Source organism: Homo sapiens, chromosome 11 (genome assembly GCF_000001405.40).
Source record: "Homo sapiens chromosome 11, GRCh38.p14 Primary Assembly".
Classification (NCBI taxonomy): domain Eukaryota; kingdom Metazoa; phylum Chordata; class Mammalia; order Primates; family Hominidae; genus Homo; species Homo sapiens.
In genome coordinates, this window is record NC_000011.10 from 27,700,123 (window position 1) to 27,721,270 (window position 21,148).

The 21,148-nt window shown below is 41.3% G+C and overlaps 1 protein-coding gene across 14 annotated transcripts in view; it reads right to left on the bottom strand.

Moving 5' to 3' along the window:
• BDNF (brain derived neurotrophic factor) overlaps positions 1–21,148 on the bottom strand; it is a 67,138-nt gene that overhangs the window by 45,230 nt on the left and 760 nt on the right. For 3 of the 14 annotated variants that reach the window (NM_001143809.2, NM_001143810.2, NM_001143811.2), the window contains exon 1: positions 849–931. The exons of 1 other annotated variant lie outside the window; for it this stretch is intronic. In NM_001143809.2, the coding sequence (NP_001137281.1) occupies positions 849–914 (66 nt within the window). In that variant the 5' untranslated portion in view covers positions 915–931. 14 annotated transcript variants of the gene reach the window in all.

The following is a 21,148-nucleotide window of genomic DNA, read 5'->3' on the forward strand; positions in this document are numbered from 1 at the left end:
GGCAGCTCCTGCACCAAGCCCCATTCCCAGCGCTTGCCTACCTCGGGGTCCACACAAACCTCACGGGTCCCCGGCGGCGGAGTCACATCGTGGTTCCGATTCTGGCTCCAGCGCCCAGCCCCGGTCCCCGTCGCGGTGCTGCTCCCCGCCGGCCCCACAGCAGCGGTGGGTGTCTCATTAAAGCCCCCCGAGCAGGAGGTGGAGGGGCGCACCGGGCTGGCTCCTCTGTCCGGCCCGGGAGCCCGAGGCGCTACGGGGTGCGCGGGACAGCGAGCGGGCGGGTGCGCCCGGGCGCGGCGGCGGCAGCGTCGGGGACCCGGAGCTCCAGGCTGCGCCTTGCGCCCGGGTCAGACATTATTTAGCTCTTCGGTTGAGCTTCGATTGGTCAAACGGCGCCGCCCCCCCCCCCCCGCCCCCCGCCCCCCGCTCCCCGCTCGCCCGCGCTACCGATACCCGTTCGAGGCGGCCGCTTAAAGGGAACGCCGCGTCTTTTCCTCGCGCGGGGAACCGAGGGGCGCCCGGAACTCCCCGCTCCCCCGGGGCCTGTCCTCACCTCCTCCCCTAGGGCCCCGCGACATCGCCCTGCGAGTCCTGCGCCCTCCTGGGGCGCCTTGGACAGGACGCCCGCGGCTTCGAGGGGTGTTCCAGCCCCAGCCTCAGCCCCGGGGAACCCCGCGTCCCGCGCCCTCTGCAGAAACCCCGGCTGTGGGCGCTGGGGCGGGAGGGAGCGAGTGAGAATCGCACGCCCCGAGGTCTCGCTCCCCTAGCTTTCAACTCTCCCCTTCCTCCCCATCCCAGCACCCAAGTTCTCTGGGAGAGGGCGTGCGTTTCCCGGGCCACAGACACACCTTCCCGCACCTTCCTGCACTACGGAGCTTGCGAACGCGAGCACACAATGAAATCGCACAGAGCATGGGGGCTATTGGTTTACTCTGCTGCCTTAAACACGCCGGCTTAAACAGAGTTCGCGCACTGACCTCTCTAGAGTTTGCCTAATAGGAATTCAATCAAGATAATAACAGCATTTTTTATTGATGAACGCCCCCAGATAACGTTACACCAAGTTACTTGTTCCAGCCAGGAAGCCCAGGCAATGACAGACCTCGCTAAAGCCACACGCTTTCTAGCCGACCAAACAGAAAAACGGAAAGAGAAAGAAAGAAAACAAACCCACCTTTTCAGTCACTACTTGTCAAAGTAACCATCAAGGCAGCTGCTCCGGGAAAGACTTCGGCCCCAAAACTCCCACACTCTATTATTTTTTCACGTTCCCTTCGCTTAATTAAAGGGGGGAGGGGGCGCGAGTCTTTGGTGCCCGGTATGTACTCCTTCTGTTCTGCAGCAAAGAAGTTAAATTATTGATAGTGGAAATTGCATGGCGGAGGTAATACTCGCACCCCATCAGCGAGAAGCTCCATTTGATCTCGGCAGAGGCAGGGAGATTTCATGCTAGTTCGCCGGGGGGAGCGGCAGCGAGAGCAGCCCTCTCCGCGGTGAATGGGAAAGTGGGTGGGAGTCCACGAGAGGGCTCCACGGTGCCTTGACGTGCGCTGTCATATGATACCTCCGCTGCCTCGAAATAGACACTCTAGTGCACGAATTACCAGAATCAAAATTCAGCGCATTTAAAATGATACATCTTTTATTAGAAGAGTTCCGTTCCAGGGCATTGCATGCTTTTGCAGATGTTTTCACTTCCAGCCCCAGCAAACACACGTATAAGCTAACCCTTTTAATAACGAACCAGGGCAGCCAAGATAAATAAAAAGTCTTCTGCTTTAACCAGAGTGGGGGTAGGTGATTCGAGGGTGGGGGCAGAACTGGCTCAGTTAATCCTCCCCCGCCCTCCACCCCCACCACTGCCCGCAGCAAAAGAGCAAATAGCCTTTCGGGTTCTCATTTGCCTGTAGCCAAGACCCTTGAAGAGAACTTATATGGCTAGGGTCCAGAGGACATTTTCAATTATCCATTTGATGAACTCTGTCAACCGTCTACCTGTGTTTCTGCTTTAAAGCTGAATTTTCTTCTCATTAGTTCAACCAATTTGTGCAGACCTTAAAATTTAGAATAAAGAATAAGACAGCAGTACCGTACTTAACTTGGAGTCCCTGGACCTCCTCGGAGCATAAAAATCACCTGGGTGAGTGTTAAAATGAAGGTCCCTCCTCCTGAAATTGTGATTTAGTAGGGGTGGGGCAGGGCCCAGGAGTTATAATTTTAATAAATACCACAAGCAATTCGAATGCAGACAATCTGAAGTCACACTTTGAGAAACACTCTCTTGGGGGTACAACACTGGGTATCAGAGGAATCTCCCACCAAGCCCACACCCAAATTCTGCAGGCAGCTTTCTGTGTGTGTGCGTTTTTCTGTAATCTCAAAGGGGTTTGACCTAATAATTGCGAAGACTATTGCTGTAAGAATTTCCCTAAAGACTCCAACATTAATTTTGCTAAAGGGAAAGATTTATAAACAGTTTCCTTTCCTGGACCCTCTTGTGGTTACCAAGAATGTGCTGTTGAACTGAATATATAATATTATTACATACTCAGTTCAATTTACCTAAGGGTTTACAGTTAGCAAAATGAATTCACTAACATTAGCTATTTTAGAACTTCTAAAGACTAGTGACAGAAATTATTTACCCGTTTTATAAAAGAAGAATCCGATCCTCTGCCAGGAAATAATTTACCCACGTTCACACAGTGAAGTACCAGGGACAAGACTTCAGTGAACTCAAGAATTCCTGCTAGAAATAACCCTGCTTCCATCTCCCCCACCCCCTAAGTGAAGCTATCTGTTCCTTGGAAGTGTTATCAGAATGTGTGATCATTCAGAGCGCCTTTGCAAATTGTTGGACTAAATAGTCAAATTATTCAAATATATGCATATTCTTCGAGTGTCACACATTTAGCTTTGCACCTCTGTCAACTTGACAGAGCACATGACCAATACAAACTACCCTACAGCACAGATGGCAGAGTTTATTGTGGAATATTTAATGTATGTGAAATACGCAGGCTAACCAGAAAGCAATAAAGGACAGAGGGCATGAAGCTGGATACCGCTACCCCACAGACCCTCTGCGTTGGTTCCCAGGTTGTAAGATGAATGCAGGCACAATTTCTTTTAGTAGCACAATACAATTTAAAAGGCTAGTGTTATACATTTAAAAAAAATACTTGTACTACATTATAAAGGACTGGAGGAACCCTACTCCAAACTTTAACTTTGTTAACTTCAAACTGATGCTTCACATTTGCTTGAAAATGAGTTCTACCCTCAGGTTTTTAAGCTCAATTGTAATTTATTTCCTTCCTGAAAAAATACCTGGCAAGTTAATGCCAGGAATCTAAGCTAGCATTCTGAAGGCTGCTCACTTAGAAGTTATGGCAAATCTTTTTTCTGCTAAATTCACATTGGCACGTCAGCATTTCTGCTGAAGGAAAAAGTGTTCTCATTTCCCAGACTCTGATTGGGTGGGTCTATGGCCAATCTTCTTATTCCTACTCTCCCTTGACATTATATAAATAAATGTGTGTATCTTCGCTTTCCAGTGTGTGGTGCAGTTTTACTGAGGAAAAGACAGAGGAGTCAGAAATGTCAGGGATATTTAGAAAGAAAAGAAGATCAGATGCCAATTCAGATAACCATGATGAATCACACCTCTTAACACTTGTAAGCATTTCCAAACTTTCTGATTTGTGATTATAGCATTGCCAATACTGTATGCGACCAGCTTAAAACATGTACTTATTTGCCTTAAAAGTACATCTTACATTCAAAAACAATGAAGCCAAGATAAACAAAATTGTACCAGTGCCTTGCATGGAATTCTAAATATTATTTTTTATTTGCTTAATTCAGGTAGCATATAGAGATAATTTTGGAGGTCTAAAATCAAACATTTTACAAAATTATTTCCCTATTGTGGGCAAGGATGATGCTGAGAATATAGAGCATGCATTTCTCTTCTTCTTAAAAATTGGCCTCTGGCATAATTGATATGTTAGGAGCAAAGTTTCCAAGTTTATAATCTGAACATTTTCTCTATTACTAAAATGAGGGAAAGTTTCACAGCTTGAAAAAATAATGCTACCTATTTCACTTTTGTGGGGCTTAAAAATTAATTGTGAATTCGTCTGAATCTTTATTTCTTTTTGGTTATGTTCTAATATGATCCTAACCCAATGTTCCAGGGGGAACAAAGGTCAGGAAGAAATTTGAATTCCCATCTATTCTTGTCGGGAAATATAAACTAATCCTCATTACTCAAGTGAGAACAGAGGTAGTAGGCTTGACATTGACATGTTTTTTCTATTAATAATTTTAATTGGCTGAGGTCAATTCTATCACTATAAGCATTTTATATTTATGTTTATTTAAGCTTCCTAGTTACTCCTACCTTCAGTATTCCTTGCAAGAAAAAAAAAATAAGTTGTCTAGTCTAGCATCAAATAAGTTGGCCTAAAAAAACTGTTGAAACTTTCCGTAATTAGCATAGGGAAAATACTTAGTAAACAGAAAACTCTGCTGTTGAGCAGAGTGGCACAGGTGTTTTCAAACTCATCCTGGATAATTTGAAAGGCCTGGTCCAATGTTAAACTATGTCACTCGCAATCCTTGAAATTCTTGTATGAGGCCTGTCCTGAGAAAAACCTTAAGGGAGAAGTAATTTCCCTATTCATGAGATGTTACGTTCTCACTAAGCTTTTTATGAACCATAAGAATAGCTCAATACCATACCAAAATGTGTTCAAATTGGTCAACACCTGTTACAGGAGTTATGTAACCAGGCATAGCCATTAGTGGCAGACAAAAGAAAGGAACCACAGCAAGAAACTTTTAGAAGGGCCAAGACTAGGAGAGTAGAACAAGAGGGTCAAAAGCTGATCCCATCTGGGAATAATATTTAGTTGGATCAAGAAAAACGGCATAGAAACCATTAAGAAACTGTTGAGACTAAACCCCCAAACATATGAGAAATATCAACTTGTAGCCCTCCAAGTTACCAGATTTGTGCTGAGAACATTTAAAAATTAATAATGAAGAATAAATTTGGTTTACTTGTTGTAATAGTTCTATAAGCGTGGTCAAAAGGGATGTGAGATTGTGGGCATAAGTTAGAGCTGACAGTAATAAATAGCTGTGGTATTAGTTGGTTTTGCTAGGAGAAAAGCCATGAGAAGAATTAACAAATTTAAACCAAAGGGTTTCAGGACATTGAATCAGATGAAAGATGAACATTAGCTTATTTTTGAGACTCACCTATTTAGGCTGTGTGATGTTTGGAGTGAGAGATTTTCTACAGCCAAATTTTAAATTCTTCATGAAAAAAATGAAAAAGAAGAATATGCAAAAATAATTTAGAAAAAAATAAGTGAACTTCCTAAAGTCTTATTTTAAAAACACACACTAAGAATTTGGCCTACTTTCATGTGATTCTGATACATGAATCTACAAAGCACTCTTTAGTGGTCTTTTTGACCAAGGACTTGAGCAGGATGTGCAACTGGCCCTCTTTCTACCTCCAGATAGCACAGGCATGGTGAGAATGAAATCCTTAATAGTGCATGGTTGTGAAGAATGGGTTAGGCTTTAGATTAGTCTGGCATACAGAATCATTTGGAAACATCCGAAACTCCTGACTTTCTCAACTTTAGTTGCCTTTCACTTCATAGTTACAGTCATTCAGTTGATGAAAGATTGCTGAGTATCTACTATCTGTCAGGAGGCTATTCTATGGGCTGATACAGGCAGATGCATAAAATACATTTTAGCCCTTTACATGCTCATATTCTAGGACATAAGAGTTGTATTTTAATCCATGGTGACACTTGCAAATTTGTTAAGTCTAGGAAGTTTTGTTTTGTTTTATTTTCCCTTGCCGTAGGTTTGGTGTGTAGAAAGATGATGGTAAACATGCCCCTAGTGGCCAGGGGGTGGTAGTGATGGACAAGAAACTTGCTCCCAAAGCTGGAGTGGCACTTAGAGGCGGGGGAGGGCCCACCACGGTTAATCAGTCCCCAGTTATTTCGGTTAGCAGTGTTTTACAAAAGGTAGACAAAAGAGAAGGAGTGGATAGGGTGAGAGGGAGGAAATCAGATAATTTTTGTTTGAGGCAAATAATTTTTCTAAATATGATAGATAGACCTATAAAAGATAGGTCCAGAAGGGATCTTAAGAGATTATCTCATCTTTCTCACTATTTATAGGCCTGTCATTGCAGACCAGGGAAGTAGACTACACATCCTTCTTTTGGGGAGCTATCTAGAATCCAGCAATGCTGGTGCTTGGAAGTCCTCACTTGTAATGCATTTTTGTTCCTGTTGCAATTTATATCTTATTTCATTTCATTCAACCTTAGTGAAGATGGAGAACAGCTGCTTACTAACCTCCTTATGTTATTAAGTCACCACTCAGACTTTTCTCGTAGCAAAAGATCAGATCTCACAACCTTTCTTCATAAACTCCAACTTTCAACCCATTAATCATTTCCCTTGGTCTACCCTGGACCTCCTCCAAGATTTCTATATTTTTCTGAAAATGTGGAGCCCCAAACCAGACATGTGTGTGAAATTATCCAGGGCTCAGGAAACACAGGAGTCATGAATTATCTGGACACAGCTGTTGGGAAAAACTAAAGGGAAGATTCAATCAGATTGACAAATCTTCCCTTTGCAACTTGGAGACAAAGTAGTGGTTGTTTAATAAAAAGATGAGCCTTCATAACAAAGCTACGTCTTCTGTCCTTAGCTTTTAAATGAAGCATTATTTTCAAAAGAAACAACTCTTGAATAGAACATTTAGCTTTCACTGTTTTCCCCCTCAACAAAATTGTTTAAGAAACAGTGGCTTTTCTGTACTCCATTTAAAATCCCAAGTTGTAGACCTTTCACATTTAAATTGGATTTGTGCTTTCATATTCTCAGGTGCTTATTATATACTGATATAATTTCTCTCAAAGGTAAGGTCTATGAAATACTACACTACTTTTGAAGCTTTACCTTTCACCTAAATTGAACCATTTCTTTTCATTTGGTCTGCACACAAAATCCAGTTAGAATAAAGTGAATAAAACTAAGTTGAATTCAGTAAAAGAGAATTATGCTAACCTACATGATACCTAGAATCAAGTCTTCATAAATTCATCAAGTATGTCTCCATTATGGCCTAACAACCCAATGAGACCAAATCATGGGATCAGCAGAAATATTGTTCCCATTACTCAGGAGATATTCTATGGTGTCTGTAAAATCAGTCCAATTGGCCTAAGAAGACATTAAACCAGATATAGAATAAAGTTAGCACTCTAAAAAGAAATGGGGTAGCAGAGGAGAATGTTTACTTCCTCTTCATAATATCGCCTTGAGAAATTGTCCAGGGACTTTGTAACCAAAAAGAGACTGCTGCAAGTGTTTGCTGTAAGTAGGTACTTCTGAAACCTTAGTCAGCCAGTGAGAGGCACCAAGAAGTTATAAGTCTAGTTGGATATAGGAAAGGCTGATGCTGATACAGAAGAATAGGACAAATATAATGTTTCATAAAAGTTGAAGACAGAGAGATGGGGTGGAATGGGGAATGAATTGGTGAGAGTACAGCCATTAATTTAAATTCCAGCCCCTATAATTGTTTTTTGTTTGGTTGGTTGTCACTGCCATGTATGTACTCTGGGAAATTACTTCTTTTTTTGCTGCTTGGACAGTAGTCATGACCTGGGAATGGGGGGTGGTGTGTGTGGGAGGTGAGGTACTATACGGCTAGATATCCAATTTTGGAAGTCAGATGTCGACGCCATGATTCAGACTAAATATATTTCTGAGACACAAACTAAGACCATAGTCAGTTTTCCTCAAGATAGTTTCCATGCTGAATTAGAAAAATGAAGACCAACACTTCCTTTATTACCAGATTTCATGTGTCCCCCAAATGCAGTAAAATGTTTAATATTGAGGATCTTTTATTTCATAGGCATGTTTTCCTGAAGGCCTTGAGAAGAATGAGCCAAACATATGACCATCCACTGGCCTTTTTAATTTAAATAAGTTCCAAGTGTAAACAACTTAAGTTAGCTTTGCATTGTTTGTCCCTTTATGTTCATACTAAATACTGATTTGAACTACTATTCCCACATAATATTCTTATAGCATTATAACCAGATTGTGGATGTAGATCATGTTAGAACTACTTTGCAAGCCAAATTTCCATTACCTTCCATCTTGTCCGCACACAAAAACTAATTAGAGCAAAGTGAGTAAAAATAAGTTGAATTCCATAAAGAAGAATCATGCTAATCTACATGATGCCAATTTATCTCAAAAGTATGTACAAGTTTGACATATTCTTGACTATTTCCTAGATTAATTTTTTTCTAATTTTTTTTTATTATTGTACTTTTGGAAATTCATATTGTTATTTATATGATTTTGCTCTCTGTTTCTAGAAAGAATTTATAAAACATCAGATTTACTCTTAATTAACTGATGTTTATAAGAGCACAATTTTAGAAGAGTAGTAATAAAAGTTAATCACAAAAGCAGAATTATATGTATGGATATTATATGAGGAACAAAGAAATTGCTCCAAAGAGTATTTAGTTGGAATATAAGGTGGTTTTAAAAATAAAAATTTTAAATGAGCAAACATTTTCTAACGTTTTAAGAGTAGGGATATTAATAGATATAATTAATTTTAGAATTCCTCTTTTTTTTTTTTTTTTTTTTTGATACAGAGTCTCACTCTGTCACCCAGACTGGAGTGCAATGGCGCAATCTTGGCTCACTGCAACCTCTGCCTCCTGGGTTCAAGCAATTCTCCTGCCTCAGCCTCCCAAGTAGCTGGGATTACAGGCATGCGCCACCACACTTGGCTCATTTTTTAAGTTTTAGTAGAGACGGAGTTTCACCATGTTGGCCAGGCTGGTCTCGAACTCCTGACCTCAGGTGATCCACCCGCCTCAGCCTCCCAAAGAGCTGGGATTACAGGCATGAGCCACCGCGCCTGGCTAGAATTCCTCTTTTATTTCTTGATCACTTTAGGGAAAATATATTAGTAGCTGTTGTTTTCTTGGGGTGGAGGATCAGGAGTGAAAAGAATTTTGTCGCTGAAAATCAAATAAAGCTGTTGTCCAATCTCAGATAAAAGAACCAAATGAAGTAACTCTGAAATAAGTAATAATATAGGAATCAATGAAAACTTGAAGTTTCAAGTTTTAGCTAGTGTCTCAATAGTCATAAAGTAACTATAGGATATTTAAGAAGTATAAAGTATAATTAGTTTTGTCCTACCATTTTGAAATTAATAATATCTGATTAGAATGCTATTAAAGTGTTGTTATGCTTATGTTTTAGTAATAATCTGTTTTTAATTTTATTTTGAACATTAAAGTAACTAAAATCTTGCACAAACTGTCCATTGTTTCCTTTTGATGTGACTATTAGGAAACAGAAGAAATATCTTTGTCATATGATATTATTTTAAGGCCCAGATAGTAGTCAAAAGAACTTTGGTCCTAATTTAAAACTGTCAGTTTCTGGCCATGTAACCTGGGCAAGCAACTTCACTAGCCCAAGATTGTTCAGATAGATATCGTAAGGGCCATATAATTGTTTATTGAATAAATTGAGAGATCTACCACTGTGCACCTCAGTTGCCCAATCAATCAAATGAGGTCAGTGGGCTACAAACTGAGTTTGCTAAAGCTGGCAACACATTCAGACCTTATCTCAGAAAGAAGAGATGATTTAGGTGATTTCAATGCATGAAGGGAATCAGTGAACTAGATCATTTGTAAGGTACTTTTTCTATCTAAATTTGAACGACAAGTTTAGTTTACCAAATGATATACAGTTCCTGAGCCAAGGTAAGGACTTACAGTCTACCAGCCATCATATTACTTAGTTATCTCTGACAAAGCTTTAGGTGGACTTTTTCATACATCAAAATGTCCTTCAAGATTATCCTTTTTTGCTAGGCTGCTTTCAGAGCTCTGGGACGTATCAAATCCATTATGTGTTCATGGGGTCCTTCCCTGAATAAATCAGAGTGGAGGTGGGATGAAGTCTCTTCATAGACTTCCGCATCTTTGATTACTTATATGCCTTTGGCAGCTCTGCAAAGACCACTGACTTGTGTGCTAAGACATACCAGTATGCATCCAATCCCTCATTTAAAACCACATCTTTCTAGGAGGTGCTCTCTAGGAGGAAGATGGATGAAATAAATGTATCAGGAAGATGCCCAAGTAGATATGCTACTCCCTTACCCAGAATATATCCCAGCTTAGTTTCTAGAGCTAGTATCCAGAGTTCTGAGTTGGTGCAAAGACACAAAGGACCCAGACACCAATTCCTGGCATGCTCCCAAATGAGATGCTATTTTCAGGAAAGTTCCAAGTTTGGAGTGGATCCTTTGGAGGAAGAGCATTGAATTGCACAAGGAAAGCCAATAAACATTCTAGTCCCCAACAGGGACTATAAGCCTTGTAATTACGTTTTAGACTGTGCTTGTCCATCCTCTTCTTCTCCATATCTGTAAACAACATGTTAGCTTTGGAGGTTTGTCATCCACTGTGTGTCTTTGGAGAGGGTGTTCCTCATCACAGCATCTGCAGTATTATAGCCAGTAACAGTTCGCAAAGGCAAACTTATGAAATAGCTTCTAAACATACTAAATCCTAATCCAAACAATTTATAACATTTCTTACTCAATAACTCTCAGAAGTCAACTAACTTGGAACTGCCCTAAACAAGTTAAGAAAGGAGTCAGACATCATCCATTGGGTTAATAAACTAAAGTGGAAGGAAGAACATGCAGGTGAAAAGTTTCAGATTCTAATCTCTTCAGTGACTATATACTTATGTCTGGATCATTCTGTATCTTGATAGTGTTTTAAGTGTGATGATAATTATAATAATAAAAGCTAAGATTGAATAGTGATTTGCAGATTAGTGATTAAAAAAAGGGCTTTGACATTAGACAGACCTAGGTTTGAACCCAGCTTTGCCACTTATTGGCTCTGCTAATTTAAGATAGTTAATTAATTACTGATGCCTCAGTTTCCTTATCTTTAAAAGAAAAATAATCGTCTTAGCCTAGAAAGATTGTTGTGAGGATTCAATGAACTAAGGAAATGCAGAATGCTCACCATAGTGAGCTCAACAAAGTTAGATTTTATTATTAATGTATATGATCCTAACAAAACATTGTAATACTGTTTCCATTTTATGATTATGAAAACTGGGCTTCAAAAAGGGTAGGTGACAATTAGCTATTTGAAAATCTCTCATCGGTTAGCAAAGATCAAAATGATTCTAAAGTAGCACTCCTGGAAATGAATTGTGAGACTCATGGCCATCTCAAAGAGTTGTGGTCAAGATCTTGTAAGAAAATGTGTATGTAAACCATCTGATAATGGGAGACCCAGATTAAATCTGGGTGGTAGCTATAAGATGGGGAGGCACAACTTCATAATGGACTTTGGAACCAGAAAACTTTGGGTTTGAAGTTTAGCTTCTCCACTTCAGATTTTCTGTGTTAGTTTGGGCAAGTTACTTAAATTCTCTGAGCTCTAGTTTTCTTAATCTATCTCTGAGAGTTACTTTAAGAGTTAAGTAATATATGCCAAATACAAAACAAATAACAGCACTGGATGAATGCAGAGTAAATGTCATCCCACATCATTATAATTTCCCATGGTGTAGTAATGACAAACAGGAAGAGTTTCAGTAATCTCTTGGGTTAGTGAGGTCAGAACAGGTATCTTAAGCAATGCTGAGTTAATGACCAGAATCTGAACTTTTTATCTTTTTCAATGGAGTGATGGATTGCTAGGGTAATGGGGTTGTGCTGGTGATGCTAAAGATAAACGTTAGAGTAATAGCAAGCTCAGTCAATAGAAACATGCTTACCATACCCTGGCCTTCTCAGTATTTGGTCCTTTCCCCACTTGACAGCTTGTCTAATGGCAAATGTGAATTTTAAAAGTTTTCTCCCAATGCTGATTTCCTTTTGCCAGGAAGGAAACAACAATGGCTAATGTTGACATTTACTAAATTAATATTTCTGAATCTATGCTGTGTTAATAAGTGCTTCTCAAGTGTTCTGTTGTTAAATATGTGTGGGAAATGTTACACAGTAGTACTTGCATGCTTTCTCACCAGTATACATCACAGACACCTTCATATCACGTCAGTTTTATAGATATTTCAAAATACATTGATACTTATCATTATTTCAAAATTATAATATTTACCTTGCTGTTAGATCTTATTTAATGTATTAAAAAGCATATATATTACTATATCACACAATATATTATTTTAAATGTTTTTATAACTGTACATCAATGCCACTGGCTTCCTTTGTAATCTTATACATTTATTTCATTCACTTAGAATTTTTTTTTTTTTTTGAGACAAAGTCTCACTGTGTCATCCAGGCTGGAGTGCAGTGGCTAATCTCGGCTCACTGCAACCTCCACCTCCCAGATTCAAGTGATTCTCGTGCCTCAGCCTTCCAAGTAGCTGGGATTAAAGGTACATGCCACCACGCCCAGCTAATTTTTTTTTTTTGGTAAAGACAGGGTTTTGCCATGTTGGCCAGGCTGGTCTGGAACTCCTGACCTCAAGTGATCCACCCGCCTTGGCCTCCCAAAGTGCTGAGATTACAGGTGTGAGCCGTCGCGCCTGGCCCCATTTAGACATTTTTATGAGAAGGGTTTACATAAGCTTTACCAGACTGCCAAGAGAGTTGAGTCCATGGCATGAAAGTCATTACAGTGAGCAATTCTTTCTTTCTTTCTTTCTTTTTTTTTTTTTTTTTTTTGCCAGGCTGGAGTGCAATGGCATGATCTCGGCTTACTACAGCCTCTGTCTCCATGGTTCAAGTTAGTCTCCTACCTCAGCCTCCCAAGTAGCTGAGATTACAGGCATGAACCACTAATTTTTTGTATTTTTAGTAGAGACAGGGTTTTGCCATGTTGGCCAGGCTGGTCTGGAACTCCTGACCTCAAGTGATCCACTCACCTCGGCCTCCCAAAGTGTTGGGATTACAGGCGTTAGCCACCACACTGGGCATCAGAGCAATTCTTAAACATTGATTATGGAAGTTATTGGCAAGTAAGAAGTCCTTAGCGGAGGAGGAAGGTGAAAGCAGAAGAAATCATTGTTTCCTACTAAAGTAGCCAGAACAACAATGAGCATGGAAGGTAGAGAACAGTCAATTCAAGAGCCCCTGTATAATTAGAACTCCACTGTGACTTCCCTTTTTATTTCTCAATTTTTTCCCACATTCTCTTTCTTTTCTCTATTCACTCACACTGCAATGCCCTATCCCAAAGGCTTTGGATGTTTGTGACACCTTTCTGCAATCACCTAATTTGTGTATTTTTTCCCCACAGTAACCTTGTTACTTAGAGACAGGAGGTGGTTGATATATTTCCTTGAAGCGGGAGGAATCAATTCTAACTCCTTTTGGTACTGATGAGCATGGTGCTACAAGGAAATTTCTAGATAGCATAACATTATAACATTCACTCTGGGAACAAAGATCTCAGAGCATTTTCTGCCGCTATTTAGGAAAATTGTTGGATCACCTTTCCCAGGTTGCGAAGATTTTGGAGTGGATTTAACATTCACTCAAAGGTTAAAAACTTTGACAAAGTACATTTTACTTCCTGTAGTGGTCTGGGAAATGCCCAGAGTGGATCAAAATGTCCTATACAAGCTACAGCTTTCTCCCAGCTTCAGGCTGAATTCTTAAATCCAGAGGTTGCATGTTACTAAACTGCTGGTTTTTAGACACTAGACTTTAAAGATTTTTTATTTTTAAATTAATACTTTGTAATACATTTTGCCATTTGTCTAAAATAGAATTCAAGAATGATGTCTGTTATGCCTAGTGCATCAGAAGTTATTTTAAATATGACATCTTTATAAAAGTCAATAGCTGCCTCATCAAAGGGCAATCATGTCTAGTGTGGGTGGCTGTGCCAATTGTTTTTGAACTACTGCAGCAATCTAGCCAATCCCAGGGAATGGCTTGCAGTCTTTCTACACCCACATTTTTTTTCTTAATTATCTCCACCAGGCTGAGTTAGTTAAGGACAGATCTATAGCATTTCCTGGATGTCAAAATGCCCACACACCTTCTGCAATCCTTGGGCTACCTGCTTCCTTTCATGTTTCTTTTGGCTTGTCCATCTAATTATCTATTATCATGTGTATATAATGCATTATTCATGAGACCCAGGCAATTTCAGGATGTAATATTTTTGATTTTAAAAGGAAATGACCTGAAAAATTATAACTTCTGCTTGCACAAAGAAAATAAGCAGTAAATTTGATAGCAGGTCTTCCATCGCACCACCTGCTTTTAAAAATAATCCGCAGAAATTTGAGATCATTCTCTAAATTAAAACTTTCCTAGCCATCATTCCATAAATGAACAGGTTCAACACCTAGATTCCTTCTATTCTGGGTTCAAATATGTTACTTTGATTTTTTTCATGATATACTTCTTAACAAGTTAAAAATTTGCGGTACCCACCCAGAATTGTAAATCACCAAAGGTTAGGGTAACTTAGGCCTTAATTTCCCCTACACTGCAAGAAATAGTTATAGACTATATCTTTTATATCACTCAAACTTGGAACGGAAGTGGAATTTAGAGTTTATTCTGAGAACATCTCTTTTGTTTTATGTGTGAGGAAGCAGAGATCAAGAGTGACTGATTGACTTTTTTGGGTACTGACAAGCGGTTGGAAGTAAAGCCTAAACTCAGGCTTTTAATCTTATTCACTGTGTTCTCTTGAAAAAAGGAATCTTATGAGTCCAGAGGTCTGTCCCCTTCTAAGGATTGGAGCAAATAAAGAGACCAGTCTTTGTCTCTAGGCCACAAGATCCACCAAGATAGGGACCATTTGGTCTTGCTTGTTCTTGAATCTCCAGATTGTAATACAGTTCCTGGCACATAATGGCAAATTATGTGTTGCCAATTAATACTTACAAAATAAAATTATGAATGCTAGAGTCTCTATAGAAAGTATACCTTTTGGGCAAAATGGGAAATGATCAGCCAAGCTCATGATCCACATAAGTATCAGAACATCTACCAAGATAAACAAGTACCCAGTGTCCAAGACTGGGATGAAATTCCAGAGGATTGAAACAAAACAAGCCAGCATGAATTCATGTATCAGATATGAGCTGGGCTAAGTGACCTCTGAGAACCTTCCCAGAACCCAGATTCTATGATTCACAAGTAAAGGTAATGTACATCTTGGCTTTGGTTCTTCTTATTCTTTGTATTTGTTTTTTGGGGAATTAGCAACTATGACTTAGATGGTATGTCAACTAGAGGAAGAGTCCTGCTTTCTTTGAGTGTCTAACTGTGGGAGAGGGAAATACTGTCTTAGGAAGACTAGTTAAAACTTTCCATTAGGCCTGAAATTTTGAAAACTATTTGTAAAAAATGTTTTTAATTTAATTAAATAAATCAAAATAGGAGAAAATAATGCCTACAGCTCCCTCTGATGCCCTAGTGGAGTTTAAGGCAGCATGGTCTAGAGAGGAACAAACACAAATTTCCTTAAAATTTGAAGAAAGACTCTGAGTTAGTCTTTACATCTTACTGGCAGTGTAGTGTTAGATAATTCTGCACCTTACTTTCCTCATCTGTAAAAGGTGATTGGTGATTCCTACCTTACATGACTGATAAGGAAATCAAATGAAACCTATAGAGAGCTGTCAAAGTACTATATGAATCTAAAGTGTTATTACTAGGAAATACAAATAAAGTCTGCACTATAGCAGAAAAATCTCTTATAGGATTGTTTTATAATGTTGGAAAGAAAGCAGAAAAAAAATCCACCTGAATTTTTAAAAAGTCAGAATGAATACTCCAAAAATTGCCAAATGAGATTAGAGGCAGGGTTAAAGAATTCATCCTTCCCTCTCTGCACCATAGTGTTTTAAGGGTATTAATCTTTATGAAACACGTGTATCTTTCTCAAAAGACACTTGTTAAAGCAGCAGCTCTACATTCCAAAGTAAAAGAGGAAAGATGTCATATTTTTGAAATTATAATCACCTTTAAGCCAAAAAGGGGAAAAATTTTTTTGTTGAAAAATTTAATCTTTCTTTAAGACCTCTATTTCCATAGCACTCAATGATGGTAAGCTTTCACTAGATGCTAATGTTTATTTTTATTGCTAAGTAGTACGCAATGTTCTTGACATAGATTATGGCATGTAAATTTAAGAGACTCACTGCTTGTTAAATTCCCACTAGAAAACACACACAGAGACACACACGCCCATACACACACACACACAGACACACACACACACACACACACACACACAGCAGTAGCAGATCAGCAGAGAAAGACACCAGCCAAAGAAAGATAATTTGAGATACTTCTGAGGTAGCAGTTGTAAAATTAAAATAAGCAACTCATTAAATTATCCATAGAGTGAAAAGAAAGCTGCAAAAATAGATATTTTTCTGGCAAGTCAGTGCTTTTCAGAATAAATTTAGTTTTCAGCAGAGCTTTTAAATCTGATGATATCAGTTCATATTCATTAGAGTTATTTAAGTGGTTAGACTAGTTTGTCTAATTAAAACCAAAGAGTAGCTTTACTGGCCTTTGAGAGAAGTATATTTAATAAAAAATATGCTCAGTTAGACATCATTTTAACTGACAGATTGTAAGCAATATGATCGAGTGAATGTTACTTGAGCAAGTTTGAGCCTGGTCCCAAAATTACAGAATTACAAAATAAAAACCCTTTGTAAGTCATGCTTTAATGCTGGTTTTCCCTCATTTCTGTTTCTTGGCTGATTATCTATTTTGTGGTCATCCAGTCCCTTGCCTTCTCTCTCGCTCACTGCCTGATTTTGGAATGTTGTTTCTTACTAAAGCTTCCCCTAGAGGACAGGCCAGGAAAAGGAAAGAAACTAAATTCACCAGCTTCTCTTCTTATTAAGAATTTAGATCAGAAATCTGATAGGGAAAGAGTCTGGCAAATGAAAGGGGAAGCTTATTTATGTTGATTTTAGATCTTTAAAAGCCTTCTTTCCAATGTACATTAATAGACAATTGAAAAATAATATTTTATAAGCCAACTAATCACTTGCTTTTAAAATCCCCACTTACTACCTTGAGCATATACATTAGATTATGTTTTAAAATAACTAGTACTCTGGTTCAGTGAAATGAAAATGATATGTGCAAAGAGAATGTCATAATGATACCTCCCATTTATGGAGTGCCTGCTTCCCAGTTTGCAAAGCCCTTATATATATTCTCTTCTATCCTCCAAAAATTGCTGTGTTGTAGGTCTTACTATCAATGACACTGAAAAAGCTACTGGCAGGATGCTCATATTCTCATCTGAATCAATACTGGTATACTCCATTGGGGGAGCTAGACCAAGCTAAAATCTCACATACAGAAATATTAATATGCAAGACCAAGGGGTATAAAAGTAGGCTAGGTTACTGTTAATTTAATAGCATCTAGGTTAAAATTCTCTCTCTTTCCTCTTTCTTCCCTTCTTCTCTCCATCACCTTCTAGTCTTCTGACTGATTCCAAACAGGACAATTGAAATGTCTTGCCTTCATGCTGAAGAGCTCTTTGTAAATACACATAAACAGTGAATATCAGGTGCACCATTTTTAAAGTGCTATTCATTTCCACAACAGTTTAGGTGAAACCATGTCATCTTACAAGTTGAGTGTGTGTGTGTGTGTGTGTGTGTGTGTGTGTAGAGGATGACGTGACACTTTTGAGGTTTATTTAAGTTGTTAAAGACCTCAAGGTTACAAGACTTAGACTGTTAAGCATTTTTCCTCCCAGAGACACGAAATCTACAATTTTCTCGATTCAACTGTCAACTAAATTGGCAAGTCAACTAAAAGGATAATATTCCCTTAACGATGCATTCATTTGAAGCCCTAGCAACTGTATTAGGCAGCAGCGAGTATTCGCTAGCAAGGGATGGCGCGGGGAGAGGGAACTCTGCAATTTAGAGTGACAGATGATTTCTTTCCCATCCATCAAGCTGCCTCAAAATGTCACAATATTTACACCTCTTTCTTGGTGAATTAGAATCCAGAGACAAGCAGACAGAAAGAAAAAAATAATAATTCCGGCCGGTTGCCGCCTGATTGGAAAAAGCAAGCGTTGCACCTTTAAATTCTGCTCCTCCATTCCCCGTTCCGCACACCACCCCCCCCCGCCCCTCCCGGGATTTTGCAATAAATCTCCCAGTTCTGCGTTCAGCCCTGCAGATCCGTATTTAAAACAGCACCATCTGGGAAGGGTGGGTGGCGATGGTGATGCGGGCGCCTTGGAGTTCCTTTGCAGCACGCTTGGAATTGCATCAGACTGATCAGAAATCCCCCCGCCCCCAAGCTCAGCCCCTCCCGCCACGCTCCCCTGCCCGCCCCTCCCCTCCCCTCCCTTCGCGTAGATCTGACTGAGAAAACGACTGGATCTCGGAACAATCTGTGCCCCATTCGCTGCAGGCTTGCTCCGTAAACCCTGCCCTACGCTCCCTTTGTGTGCCGAGCAGCCTATCACCGTCATCTGATCCTAGCGCCTGTTTTTTATCTTTTCCTTCTGAATTTCCACAATATCCTCGCTTCGCCTATGAATCCACCTGCGCAGAGTTGGGATTCTTTCTTTCGTTCGTTAAAACAGTGGTCTTGAGTTTCGGAAACAGATTTTTCCTACGTTCCCCTCACCCCTACCCCAAGCTCTTGCCTTTTAATTAAGAAGAGCTGATCGGGGGAGGAGTCCAGAACGACCAAACCCTGGGGCGAAAACTGCCACCGGGCTTGGCTCTGTGGCCGGAACAAAAGGCCTGAGAAGGGGGTGGGGGTGAGGGTTATAGGAGTGTGGAGAGCCTGGTGGCCCCCGCCCAGGGGCGCCTAAGTCCCTGAGCTCCCTGAAGAGTGGCAAGAGGATAACGCAGCCGCGCGTTCCGGCAGTTCGCTGTCCCCCGGGGGTGCAGGCGGGGGCGGGAGAGGTAGAACACAGGTCTGGGCGGCTCCGCGCCGCTTCTATCTCACCCGCCAAGCCCCTCACCTCCACCCACCGCCAGTCCCCTGCCCACCCGGGTGGCGGCGGCGGCTCAGCGACTAGCCGGCCGCCCTCCACCGGCGCCTCCGGACGCAACCTCGCCCTGGCAGGGCGGTCTGCGCGTCCAGCTGATTGGTGGCTCTGTCCAGCCGCCGCACGGAGCTAAAAGTGTTCTTCTCCACCGCCTCCAGCCGCCCAGGCCCCCTCGCCCGGCCCGCTCTCTGGCTCTTCGGTCCGGAAAGGACCTTCTACTCCCAGGCGGAGGCTCCCCTTTCCCTGAGTTACCCCGACTGACTCGGACCTGGGCTCAGTGAGGCATCCGGCCCGGCTGGGGAGCGGAGCGCGGTCTCGGCAGCTCCCCTTCCCTTGAGAAAGCGGGAACCCTCTAAGCCAGCGCCCGAAACTCGCGGGGAGGGAGGACAGAAGGGAAAAAAAAAAGAAAACCCAGAAAGAAGCATCCAGCGAGGAGCGAGGGCGACGGAGAGGAAGAGATAGAATGAGGGAGGGATGGAGGCTGGAGGAGGGGGCGGGGTGGAAGAAGGGGGGCGGGAAGGAGGGAGGGAGGGGGAAAGAGAGGGAGGGAGGGATACAGAGAGAATGAATCCTTCTCACTAGAAGAGCTGAAATTACCTTGATTCATTTTTTTGTGTTGGAGGTTTAGCTTTACCTCCTTCCCTCTTCCCAACCTCCACCTCCTCTCCCCACCGCACACCACCTCCACCGCCTGATTCTAAATGCTACAAAGTCAAATTTTAGGAATTCGAATGTTTTGCAAAAGCTTCATAATTAGTAATGAATCTACTGTACACACACACACACACACCAGCAAAGAGAACGGAAAAGAGGGAGGTGAAGAGGAGAAAAAGAGAGATAAATCTTACATTTGAATCAGACATTTGCAGGTCCAAGTTAACTAAACTCATTATATCCGCAGGAAGACTGAGTTTCTTTTTTTTCTTTCTCCCTTTGCCCCAGGGTTCTCACCTAGGGCAATTCAAACTGGGCAAATACCAAGAAACAACCCCCTCTCATGCTCTCCCTCTACCTCCTCCCCTCCACCACGCGTCCTCTCCGGAAGACAGTATCAAAATAGCTCAAGAATTGGGGATGCAAGGGGTCCCCGCCCTGGTGCTTACCTTCTTTGCGGCTTACACCACCCCGGTGGCTAGATCCTGGAGATAAACACTTGCATTTCCCAAAGTTAACCCAGTATACCAACCCGGAGCTTGCCAAGAGTCTATTCCAGCCTACACCGCTAGGAAGCCAACTTCAGCGAGCTCAATGAGGGGACCAAACTGGGGCTCGCTTTCCAAACGCTCCGCTCCAAAATCTGACTCTCTCTCCAGCCCCGATCTCAGTGTGAGCCGAACCTCAGAAAAGACGCTTTTTAAGGGCGACACAGGGTTGGCTTTACAGCGGGGCCAAGAAGACTACCTGGGGGTACCGCCACCTCGGACAAATCCGTTGGCTCTGTCCAAGGTGCTGAATGGACTCCTATCGCCCGGATTACACACCCGGCACAGCAGGAGGAAAAGGCTTAAAAATCTCTAATTAAGTGATACTTGATATTGCTCTAGACGGTTTCTTCCACTTCCTTACGGTTTGTCACGTGCGGATGGCTTTGCCAAAGCCATCCTGTTAATAGTTGATCACATGTTGATGAGAACCTTTTCTTCTACGAGAGGATTACCCATTACCGGTGATATGCACTTCTGACTTATTTCTCTCCCCCCAACCCCACCCCCCATCTACACCTAAACTCCCAGTCTTTACCCCACCCTTACCCCCACTCCACCCCCTAACCCCAACCTCTAACAGCATTATTGTTTTTAGATGGAAATTAACCCCCTTGCAAATGTCAATTACATGCCCACATATAAATCATAGAATATGATCATACACCATACACATTAAGGAAAAGAATAGAATGCAAGACTGCTGAGAGACAAGCATCAGCCTTGAACAACCAATATAACACACACCCCCCCACCCAGCTCCAAGTTTGTTCCACGCAGTTCCACATAGCTGTGTCAAATCTCAAATGATTCCAATTAAAGTTGC